Consider the following 13,080-nt stretch of genomic DNA (forward strand, 5'->3'; position numbering starts at 1 on the left):
TGTAAATTGAAAAATCATAAAATCCAAATTATGCAAGTATAATGTTTCTAGAAAATCAAAAAGTTATTTAATTACTGAACAATTTCTAAATCGAAATCTCTTTAGCAGCCTTAGAGACCTAAATGATCATCTAAAGTTTATTACAAATTAAAGTATTCCAGATCATGGCAAATATTTCATTTCTGCCCATTTTAGTTTAAAGAAAAAGCAATAAAGTTGGGGCTCATGAGTTGACTTTCTAAGGGTAAGCTTTCCTCTGCCTCCATGGGGGAAAAAATTTACACCATTACTTTAAAAAAAAGTAAACTTAGCCAGGTACAGTGGCATACGCCTATAATCCCAGCACTTCGGGAGTCCAAAGCGGGAAGAGCACCTGAGATTCGAGACCAGCCTGGACAACATAGTGAAACCCCATCTCTACTAAAAATGCAAAAATTAGCTGGGCGTGGTAGCGCACACCTGTAATCCCAACTACTCAGGAGGCTGAGGTACGAGAATAGCTTAAACTCAGGAGGCAGAGGTTGCAGTGAGCCAAGATCATGCCACTGCACTCTACCCTGGGTGACAGAGTGAGACTCTGCCTCCCAAAAAAAAAAAAAAAAGTAAAGTAGCAGGAAAGATTCTTCTACTTGGAGAAAAAAACACCTAGGTAGTTAACCAACAAACTAACTATTACCACATGAAAAAGAATACATAGTAAAAGTTTTCCAGAATTGTGTCCAAACAACAGAAAAACAATATCCTCACAGTTATAACCATAAGTAAAAATATACCATAATTCTAATCATAAAGTATCAAAAATCACTCTAAATACAAAGAAAGTTGATATAAATCACTCACATTGTAAAATGAAGGTAGGGTTTATGTATAGCAGCAGATGATGACTGTTTCTTTGGTGATCCTGAGTGACAATTGGTCTCAAAAATTGATAAAGCATTTTCATCTTCACTATCCTCTAAAATTAAAGTTTCTATATCTGTTTAAAAAAATCACAATGGTTATGGGGCTTATAAAGTCATTTAATATTCGTGCCCTACCAAAGCTAAGAAAAATTGGGTTAAAAAATCAAATGACATTAATAAGTTATCTATCAAATAATACAGGCAAACTGACAAACTGCAGCTTTTAAAATAACTTATAAACAAAATTAATATAACACTTTCACCTTTACAGACTATTTACTTAAGTGTTATGAGATATAATTTGGAAGAACTCACTGACTGGCTTAAAAAAAAAAAACAAGTCTGGAAAAGATGTGGCACTCTCATAAAATCCCACCTATTTAACTAAAAATCTCTGAGTTAATTTTGACCAAAACCAGTCCATTTCATATTTGGTTTAATTAGTAGGTTAGCTGAGTCAAGGCCAGTTCTTATAAAAGCAACAAGGAACAAACTGACCCTTATTTTTTAAAGAGGATACACCTTTTCAAAGAAGTCTTAGTGTAGTTAAGATGGAGTCAGAAATTCCGTCAAAGCTAATCTTAAAAATACACTCATTCATACAGCATTATTCTCTCTGTGGGCCTTAGGTTATCACTCAGGGAACTAACTGGAACTAAAATCTCTACTGAGAATGCAACACTTAAAGCCTTACCTGGACTACCACCTGAAGTATGAACAGCTGTTGCTATACTTCAAACATGCCTAATTAAAACTGACAATTCATTCAATAAAAAGCAATGCTACATGTGTACGGGATATGAGAGAGAATTAAGATTAAGAGAAATCATATCCTTTCAAAATAAAAAATATACAGATGCATTCTAAAATGAGATGCTAAATTATGCTAGCAGATAGAGATCTCAAGTGGCTTTTAAAAGCTAAACATTTAATCGAGACCATCCTGGCTAACATGGTGAAACTCTTGTCTCTACTAAAAATACAAAAAAATTAGCCGGGCGTGGTGGCAGGCGCCTCGTAGTCCCAGCTACTCGGGAGGCTGAGGCAGAAGAATGGTGTGAACCCAGGAGGCGGAGCTTGCAGTGAGCCAAGATTGCGCCACTGCACTCCAGCCTTGGTGACAGAGCCAGACTCCGTCTCAAAACAAAAAAAAAGCTAAATATTTAGTACAAGTCATAGTTTAATCTGGGAAATAACTGAGTATCTTTTGAGTGATAATTTCATACACAAGGAAATATTTATCTAAGAAAAATATTAAAGGTCAAAACAAGCCAGAATAAATATGACTAAATAGCTAAAAACCAATTATTGATAATCAAATAAAATTTGGTTGCTCTTCTCCACTGGTTCATGGCAACTAGTTCTACCAACTGGAACTAAAGCATACTTTATATTTACACACAAAAAAAGCTATAAGAAAACATAGATAATAATGCTATAAAATGGTAATTCACAAATGGAGATAAAAAGCTATGATAATCTCTCCAAAGGAAAGATGAGGTTTTTATGATTTTCTAAAGGTGACGTAAGTTTTTTGGGACGTTTTGGTACATAACATATATATGAAATACATTTCCAGTTATGAAATTCAGAAATAAAAAATACACAAATCATGGCATCGTGCCTGGCTCACAGATATTCAGTAAAATATTCATTCCCCTCTGTCTGCCAAATTTAAGAAATCAGGTATTCCATGTGGTATCTTATGTGAGTCTGTCACTAAACAATTAAAGTTTCTGAAAAATATATTTATGACAGAAGAATTCATTGAACAATATTCATAATTTTTACTATATATATTTTTAATGTTAGTATAATTCTCTGAATAATTTTCTATTTGGTGCAGACTGCATTCCAGACAAGGTGCTAGGAACTGCAGAAATTAAGATAATCAAAAGACATTACTTTCCCTTCAAAGTTTATGAGCTTTATACTCTGATTAGAATGTCAATGTAATTTTTAAATGTTTTTCCTGTAAATGAGTGATGTTTTAAATTTTATTTATTTATTTTTGTTTTTAATTTTTTAAGAGACAGGGTTTCACCATGTTGGCCAGGCTGGTCTTGAACTCCTGACCTCAGGTGATCCACCCGCCTTGGCCTCCCAAAACGCTGGGATTACACAGGCGTGAGCAACCGCACCCAGCCATGAGTGATGTTTTTAAAGGTAGTTTTCTGTTTTTATCTCAGGTGCAAAGTACAATCTGAGGCTTGACAAAACTCAAGATCCTCTAAAATGAGGTTCTTATTTACTCCCTTACCAATACCTTACACTCCTATGAGCACTGCACACTGCAGAGTGTCCTACCAATAACAACAAAATGATTAGTTTAATCCAAAGAAGCATTATAGCAACATAGGTAAGAGCAAGGGCTGTCATCAGGCTCCCTGGGTTGAGGCAGTCCCCAGAACTTATTGAATGACCTTATATTAATTAAATTACCAGGCTGGGCGCGATGACTCACATCTCTAATCCCAGCACTTTGGGAGGTCAAGGCGGGTGGATCACCTGAGGTCAGGAGTTGGAGACCAGCCTGATCAATATGGTGAAACCCCATCTCTACTAAACAAACAAACAAATACAAAAATTAGCTGGGCGTGGCGGCACACGCCTGTAATCCCAGCTACTTGGGAGGCTGAGGCAGGAGAACTGCTTGAACCTGGGAGGCAGAGGTTACAGTGAGCCAAGATCAGGCCACTGCATTCCAACCTAGGTGACAGAGTGAGACTCTGTCTCAAAAAAAATAAATTACCAGCCTACATCTCCCACTCCCCTGCTCTATATAATCAGAGTGCTTACCTGCAAGCCTGTTAAGAGGATTAACAGGCCGGGCGGGGTGGCTCACGCCTGTAATCCCAGCACTTTGGGAGGCCAAGGTGGGAAGATCACCTGAGGTCAGAAGTTGGAAACCAGCCTGGCCAACATGGTGAAACCCTATCTCTACTAAAAATACAAAAAAATTAGCCGGGCGTGGTGGCAGGTGCCTGAAATCCCAGCTACTCAGGAGGCTGAGGCAGGAGAATCGCTGTACCCGGGAGGCGGAGGTTGCAGTAAGCCAAGACTGCGCCATTACACTCCAGCCTGGGCAACAAGAGCGAAACTCCATCTCAAAAAAAAAAAAAAAAAAAAAAAAGGATTAGTAAGTGATGATTTAGGGGCTTTAAAGGTTAACCTATTATTATTATTATTACAGTCAACTTTCTAAAGATAGTAATAGCCCTACATTAAGATGATCAGAATGTCCCAAAAGTGAACATTCATTCATTTGTCTTAAAAACATTCACCAGGCAACTACCATATGCCAGGCAATATGCCAGGCCTGGAATATATAGTACTGAATAAACAGATATATTACAAAAGTGACACATAAATAATCTTATGAGGAAACTATATTTATTTATTCCTGTATTTGTTTCATCTTAACAATATAAAAAAGTAGTTTAGAGTACCTTCTTTTTTGTCACTCTGGCTAATTTCAGCATGAGGAAACACTTTTTGCAAGACTGCTAGGATGTTGTTGAAGCTTCTTTCCAGCAGTGGTCTTATGATGGGGGATAGTGCATGCCCTGAAGACATCACAGCACGTTGGGAAGCAGGCACGATATTCTGCATTGCATGGTAAAAATCTTGGGCACTAAGCACTATTGAGGAAACATCCAGCTGCAGTTTATGACTGCTAGCATAGATCTGGGGATAACGCCTCCGCAGTGCAATCAGGGCGGCTTCAGTGCACAGGGCCTTGATATCGGCTCCACAGTAGCCTAATACACAAAAGGAGAAGGATAGCAAAGGTACATTCATTATTCCATGCACCAACTATGTTTTGTAAATATACACATCTTTAGCTAAAGTCATAATCAATACTAAATCAATAACTATGTGCAATTTTACCAGCAAAATGAAAACTAGCCATTTAAAATCACCAAACAAAACTTTGAATAAAGGGCTGAATACTTACATTAAGATTAAAAATGTTTTGAATATTTTTAATTAAAAAAAACATAAGCTAACAATATTAAAACAAAACAAGCTATGTATCTTAAATATGTCCTTGATATGAGCTTTAAAACAAAAGCCATGTATTATGTGATTAACTGATTACAATGTACAACTTTTTTTTTTTTTTAAGAGACAGGGTCTCAAAAAATAAACAAGAGACAGGGGTCTCACTCTGTTGCCCAGCCAGGCTGGAGTGCAGTGGCACAATCCGGCTCACTGCAACCTCTACCTCCCAGCCTCAAGTGGTTCTCCCACTTCAGCCTTCTGAGTAGCTAGGACTACGGGCATGTGCCACCACACTCGTATAATTTTTTTCTTTTCTTTTATTTATTTTTGTAGAGATGAGGTCTCACTACATTGCCTAGGCTGGTCTCAAACTCCTGGGCTCAAGTGATCCACCCGCCTCAGCACCCTCAAGTGCTGGGATTACAGGCCTGAGCCACCACACCTGGCCTACAACGTACAACTTTCTTTAGAAAAAAGTTTTAAAAGAATAATAGTTTCATTTCAGTCCTTCATCAATATTCCTAATCATTAGGTTAGTCCTCATGACATCATACTCACTTATAAATGACTTTCTCTAATATTATTAACTTCCAAACACGTATAAAATAGTATATAAACAGAAACTTCAAAAACAGAGCTATTCTACTACCAACTCTGAGTACAACCAACTATTAACATTCAGTTACTCCCATAATTATCATTTAAAATTGTAATTCATCTGATAGTTCCAAATATATTAAAGTAAATAAGAACATTAAAAATATTTCCACTGATTTTCCACATTAATTTTCTTTTTTTAGTTTAAAATGACTGATAATCTAAGGGTTATACCAACATAAGGTATTATTTATTACCCATGTTTAATGTATGATACAATCAAACAACAGATCAAGCCCCACTGTTTTTAAGTCATTTCATTCATCTGAGTAACAAATACATACAAAAACACATGCTCTGTTGCATCCTTGTCACAAAAAGGAAGAAAAGCTCAAACTAGCCATATTGTTTTCCCTGTTGGCAATTAAACTTGCATTTGGCCACAATTATCAGTTATGCCAGTAGGGGGAACCATTCCAATAGTTATAGAATATTAGACCCTAACTAAGCTTCAACAAACAATACCAGGTTTATTTTTATTTTATTTTTGGGAGACAGCATTATCGCTCTGTTGCCCAGGCTGAAGTGCAGTGGGTGATCATGGCTCACCGCAGCCTTGACTTCCTGGGCTCAAGAAATCCTTCTGCCTCAGCCTGCTGAGTAGCTGAGACTACAGTGTGTGCCATCACATCAGGCTAATTTTTTTTTTTTTTTTTTTTTGTAGAGATAGGGGTCTCACTTTGTCCAGGCTGGTCTCAAACTCCTAGCCTCAATCCTCCTGCCTCACCCTCCCAAAGTGCTGGTATTACAGGCATGAGTCATCACACCTGGCCTATTTATCTTTTTATACCTCACAATGACCTTATAGAACACTTAAATACTGAACTAAAAATGGTGATTACTAAGAAAAACCTATTCAAAGTTAGGGAAAAACTTAATATGACCTAGAAGAACTTAATTCAGAAGACTATAAGCAGATTACGCATTAACATTGTTCCATGACAGTGATCTATCTCACAAATAATTCTTCAGATAACCAAATTTACCACTAGTGTCTCGTTTTATTTTCTATTTCTCAAAGAAACCTGGAAAAAAATTATCTTTTCCTTTTGCATATATACCCATTTCATTAATTCAATAATGTATAGAACACTAGCTCAAAGTTATAAAGAGTTAACAAAGTAATCTAAGTATATGATTATAGAATGTGAATTATGTCTTCCATTTCCGAGGAAATAGGAATATACTACCATCTTCAAACAACATAAACAATCACGTTTCTATTTCTTCTTTAAAAGGATATACACAGTTAATGAACATATTATATGGTCCTATTTTAAGTGCAAAAGCCTAAGTTTAAAAAAATTAAAACTCAGAAACTATTAGGCAAAACAAATAATTAGCCACTAGAAGGCATTTTAGGTAGTAAATGTTACCCATAACATTTATGTTTGCCACAACATGTTAATTACATATATAACAGCAATGTATTATTTATTGATTTATTCCAGACAAAGAAATGATCAATAGACCCCATTTAATGAAGTAGATTTTCACATTAATTATTATAACCAACAGACTTATAAAGAAGGAAATTTTTTTACATTCGCTTATAAGTAAGAATTACCAGTTTATATCTGTGGTTCTCACCTTGATTATCCATCTGAATAAACACTGAAACTGAAACAAAAAAAAACAGATTCCCAAGCCCCACAATAAACCCAGTGAATCAGAATCTCTGGGGGCTTGAAATCATATGTGCATTTCAAGAAAGCTTTAGAAGTGACTCTGATACACACAAAATTGAGAACTACTGATTTAACATACTTCCTTCTAAAACTTTAAAATTGCATCATAACCATGGCTAAATGGGTTATACTTAGGGTAACCACATGTGCTGGTTAGGCCTCTTGTCCTGTCATAATAGCACATCTTTTCACTCTCAAAGCGTCCTTGTTTAGAAAATAAATAATATGATCATTCTAGTAATACTGAAAATATACTACAGCCTTTTAGGCGTTAAAAGTTAATATTAAAGAAATTATAAACATCCCTTTCATAACCATACTAAATCTACCATTACAATTCTAATACTCTGTGAACACATTTAGTTATCAAATAAAGAGCATTCCTGAATACTGCTATTAAGCTAGAAATTGTTCTAAAAAGACTGAAAATACAGCTACTAAAGAGGTTAGACTAGAAACAAGGTCATAACAAAATTTTATAAAGTTTTAAGTACAGCATCACACATAATGAAGGCCCACAAGATAAGTCACTTCATTGAGACTCTTTCATTGTTTTAGCCCTCTCATTGAAAATGGAATAGAAAAATATGATTAGAGTTGAGTGTTTCATTAATCATAAGTTTCCTACTATTTATGCAAATGTTCCTGATATCAATGTATGTTGAGTTTTTCACTATGCAAAAATCACACCCAATATGCATGCAAAAACCTCTAAGAACTTGGGAATTTCAAGGTAAAAGTTACCAAATCCATAACCTCTAACAAAAGGTCAGCTATCTTCACAGCTGTTCATCATACTCTATGAGGCATAAATTTCAATGAACTGAACCTATTCATGTTAAAACATGTTTGGCATACACAGACTAGTGAGTTTGTAATGGATTTAAAATTACTATTTCACGCCCGTTTGAAGATCTGAATTTGATTTTTTTTTTAATGTGAACCGGTTTCTCAGATGGAATGAATGTCATAACAAAAAACAGAAGTCATTTAATTATAATGGATTTTTATGTCACTGTCCAGGAAGAAAATGGTATATAAGCAGAGTCTGCACACATACTACCACCCCACAGAGGGGAGGGAAAAAAGGTAAGAGAAATTTATCAGTCCTGTAAGAAATTATACCATGAAAATTTTAAAACTTAAGAAACTGCCTAAAAGCTAAAAAAATCACTGGGAAAAATGAGAAGTATTGTCTTTGGAAATGCAAAAGGAAACTAAGATTCTAATATTTGGGGTGAAGAATTAAACTAGAGTATATAATATTTCAGATGGTAGACAGTATAATAGAAAGTAATTTAGAGTACCTATCTCTTAGGGAATTTCCAAAATGATTTGACAACTTGACTTCTGCTTATTTCAGTTAAGGATCATTCTGTGACAAATTCACAGAAAAATCTACAAAGATTTCCCAGTCCGATCTGAACTCTAGTAAAATATCATCATAAATAAAAGGGGTCTATTTTCAAAAAGGGAAAAGACTGGATTTTATACCAAATACCACCCTCTCCCATAAAGCAGCACAAGGCTTTGCAAAGGTCAAGCCAAATTTACATGAAATGTGTTTGGCGCATGCTCTCTTATACCAGGCAAAGCTTAAACTGAAGTAGTGCTGGAGAGATTTACGTTTTCTCCTCACCAGAAGATGTCGAGGTCTTTGTGGTTCAAAAGCTGAGGGATGCTGCTTCGGAGATGGAGGTCCCTGTGGATGAAGAGGATAATTTGGATGTAGCTAACTGAATGGACTAATGTTCTATTTAAGTTTTAATTATTTGATGGTGGATCACAATGATTTTTTAAATTAAGTTGTTCTTTTTGGCTTTGGTAACTTTAAAGTTTTCCCAAGTAAGCTGTTGTTAGTGGACTTATTTGGGGGATTTCTTCATAATGCTTAAAAAGTTCATGAAGATTGGGTTTTTTTTTTTTTATTTATATTTTTCAGAGTATGAGAGGAAAACAGACAAAAGAGGGGGAAAGAATGAAGGAGAAATACCTATGTGTATATTCAGGTGCCTAACATTGTATTCCTTTTTATTTCAGACCTAATTAGAGCCAAAACCCTGAATTCCATCTCCTATGTGTGATCATCTGTGCAGATAAACACTCTCACCACATCCTAGAAGGACAGTAGTGTTCATTCACTCTGTGGGGAGATCTTCCACTCTGTGAAAAATTTAAAGTTAAACTGGAAAGTTTTATATTTGGGGAACTACTACCAAATATAATTAACTATTTTCTTTGAAGACCTCTCCCACCCAACTTCTTTCTAGACCACAGGAATGAAAATAAGCCCGTTGTGTAATCTGCAAAGTAAAAGTAAAAGGCTGCAGTCCTGCTTTGACATGGACCTTTCTCTCTCAAGTTCAAGCTTATTTTTCTTAGTAAAATTTCTAAGAGGGAATGATATTCAAAAGGAGACCCTGTATTAATATTATGGATACCCAGCACTCAATGAAAGGCATGTTATTATTGAGCTTTGTTAACTAAACACCTAATGGCAGTTAAAATTCTAATTTAGAAGTACTCAAACTTTAAGTGAAACAGTCAAAATAACTTTAAAACATAAAGGTAGAGACAATCTATTGCACAATCAAAAACATAACTATGCTCATTCACATTCCAAATAAGGGGAAAGGGAGGTTGAGCAGAACAAACAATGACAATCAAAAAATTCAAACAGTAACACTCACCAACACATTTTTCAGCCAATTCACCTAAAAATGCATCTGACAATTTTGGATTCCAGTCCCTGGTATGGATCTGTAAGATGTGTTTTCTTGCCTAAGATGAAAAGCACAGATACATAAAATCTTGCCCAAGAAGAAAAGTACAGATAAAATATTATCAATCCCTCAAATACGTTAGGTGGAACAAATTTTGACTAACAATCCCATTAAAATTTTTATTTTAAAAAAAATTTAAACACCTTAGCATCTGTCTACATCAACTCTGATTCCAACAATAAATCTGGGAGATATGTAGTAGAGATCTTGTCTGTGTTCACAACCTAAGACATTTAATGTTGTGAGAGGTGAAGAAAATTGACTAGCAGCATATAACAACTAAGTGACTCATCTGGGACTAGAATTCAAAACTATATTTCACTTTTCCACCATACCACTTTTACTATTTGAAAATATATGAACAAAAAACTTTCATGTTATAAAAGTTATAGTCATAATTTTAAACAAACTTTACATTTCATAGAATTTGTGGTATTATGATCAACAATGAGCAAAATAACAAGTAACTTAAACTTGAAAAAAGTTTTTAATTTGGAAAGTATTCAAGTTTAATTAAATATCATGCATGCCAGTTGTGGTGGCTCACACCTGCAATCCCAGCACTTTGGGATGCTGAGGTAGGAGGATCGTTTATGTCCAGGAGTTCAAGACTAGCCTGGACAACATAGTGACACCCTGTCTCTACAAAAAAATTGTTTTTTAATTAATTGGGCATGGTGGTGCACGCCTGTGGTCCCAGGTACTCAGGAAGCTGAGGTGGGAGGATCACTTGAGCCTGAGAGGTCGAGGCCTGCAGTGTGCTGTGATTACGCCACTGCATGCCAGCCTGGGTGATAAGAGTGAGATCCTGTCTCAAAGGGAGAAAAAAAATCAAGCATATTATTACTTTGTCAGTTAGTTGATGCTTTGGCATTTAATACAAGGTATTTCAATAAATATCAATTAAATTCATTGAAAGATCAAAGTGTTATAAACAATTTTACATTGATTTCAGCATTCTCTAGCTTAAATCTGACTGCATATAGCACAATCAAAATTTTAATGTCTTGCTTCCAAAACAAACAGAAATTTATTTTTCTAAAATAGTTTTTTTTGTTTTTGAGACTGAGTCTCACTCTATCACCCAGGCTGGAGTACAGTGGTGTGATCTTACTCACTTCAACCTCAGCCTCCTAGGTTTAAGTGATTCTCATGCCTCAGCCTCCTGAGTAGCTGGGATTACAGGAACCCACCACCACACCTGGCTAATTTTTGTATTTTTAGTAGAGACGGAGTTTCACCATGTTGGCCAGGCTGGTCTTGAACTCCCGACCTCAACTGTTCCGCCCACCTCAGCCTCCCAAAGTGCTGGGATTACAGGCGTGAGCTACCACACCCAGCCTAAAATAGTTTTCTTAAAAAAACACTAACATATAAGAATCTATAATCAGCTGATACTATCCACCACCAACGGTAAGATCAGAATTTTGTTTTCACATCTGCACTCTTTGGAGAAAATTACAACACTTTTTAAAAATTGAGTATGCTTGTTCCCTCAACACTGCTGTCTAAGCTTCTTGAGACATGAAAAAGTAAATTATAACCAAGATGATAACACCTTACTGGCTTGATGAGGAATCTGGGGTCCAGCAACAAAACAGAACAACTTCAAAGTCATCAAGATAAATCTTGCTCAAAAAGTTGACAAAATCTGGAATCAATAGCTACAGTTTCAATTCCAAGTTCTAAGTTAGGCATTCAGCTATGAAAGTTAAAGCAATGATATGACACTTATTTTCTTCCAACTTGAAGTATCTGCTTGAACAGATACTAAAAAAAGAAGGTCCAAAAGAAATATCAACCTAACAGCATATATATTCTGTAAGATGACATTAAGAATCTATACAAACTTCATTAGCAGCACAGGCAGTGTGCTGCTAAGGGTGATTACAAGACCCTTAAAAAATAAAGAACATGTAAAAAAAAAATTATGCTGGAAGATATCCCAAAAAGAGATCCATTCTTATCCTCTCCTTTCCCTAAAAAGAGGTTTAAAGTAATGAAATTAATTATCTAAGGTTAGCAAGTTATCTTCAGGTCCCTAATAATGCTCTTTCCCTATATAACCCAATCAAAGTCACTTTCCTTTTGTCATACTAAAAACAAGACATGGAATGAAGAAAAAAATACTTAAATGTAGAAATCAAGAACTGTTCATTATGTATTTTACTCTATATGGCAAACCGAATAGTAAGTCAAAGGGCTTCCTCTAATAGAAAGTACCTTCCTCTACTATTAAACATCAAAGGCAAATTCAAGCTCCTCATTTTTCAGAATCCACAAGTACACATACAAATATATATTACTTACAACAATCATAAAAATGATGATAAAGGAAAATAAAAGAAATTAAAAAGCATTATTGCATATAGAAGATGTGTACTATTTTATGCAAATAGTTAACAAAATTATTAAAATTTGAAACCAAGATTTACTTTTATTAATCTTTTACTTAATGAAATAGCAAGAGTCATGATATTCTATTGGCCAAACCATAGGACTGAGACACTGACTGGTATCACTTTAAATTAATGACCCAAATGGGTCCTTATTACTACCCTTAATACTTCCCTAGGCCGTTCATTATGCCTTTCTCCTAGCAGACTATTTCACAGCACATCTTCACACTCTGCTGATGACCGTGCCTCCCAATTCACTGAGAAAACTGAAGCAATCAGAAAAAAACTTCCCCAGACTCCCCACATCCTAATCACCAAAGATGTCCACCCATCAGCATGTGTGCCAACAATATTCTGTCTTCTCTCTGTTGTCACAGATGAACTAGCCAGCTCCTATCTAAAGTCATTCACACCACTTTTACGCTAAATCCTATCACTTTTTGCCTATTGAGGACATCTCTCAATTTCACATAAAAATTCCCTTTTCTACTAGATATTTCTTCCATCTTGAAAACAATGAAACACATTATCTTGCCCCTGCTTCCTTCAATATCATATCACCTAAATTATTTGCTTCCCTTTGCAGAAAAACTCTTTTTAAAACATATCTATATTCACTCCCTCCAATTCCTTCCCATTTTCTCTT

At 35.4% G+C, this 13,080-nt stretch overlaps 1 protein-coding gene across 29 annotated transcripts in view; it reads right to left on the reverse strand.

The window, feature by feature from the left end:
- Positions 1-13,080, reverse strand: part of ATAD2B (ATPase family AAA domain containing 2B) — a 249,155-nt gene that overhangs the window by 140,938 nt on the left and 95,137 nt on the right. For 27 of the 29 annotated variants that reach the window (XR_001738780.3, NR_125717.2, XR_001738782.3 and 24 more), the window contains 3 exons: positions 9,943-10,033; positions 4,352-4,663; positions 841-976 (listed from right to left, as the gene is read on the reverse strand). Coding sequence is in view for 26 of the 29 variants with exons in the window: in XM_047444799.1 (XP_047300755.1) it covers positions 841-976; positions 4,352-4,663; positions 9,943-10,033 (539 nt within the window). In the remaining 3 variants the exon portion in view is untranslated. Of the gene's footprint in view, positions 1-840; positions 977-4,351; positions 4,664-8,891; positions 8,955-9,942; positions 10,034-13,080 lie in introns of those variants that run through there. The other 2 variants (XM_047444808.1, XM_047444807.1) reach the window with 1 other exon arrangement.

The sequence above is a fragment of the Homo sapiens genome, chromosome 2 (assembly GCF_000001405.40).
Source record: "Homo sapiens chromosome 2, GRCh38.p14 Primary Assembly".
Classification (NCBI taxonomy): domain Eukaryota; kingdom Metazoa; phylum Chordata; class Mammalia; order Primates; family Hominidae; genus Homo; species Homo sapiens.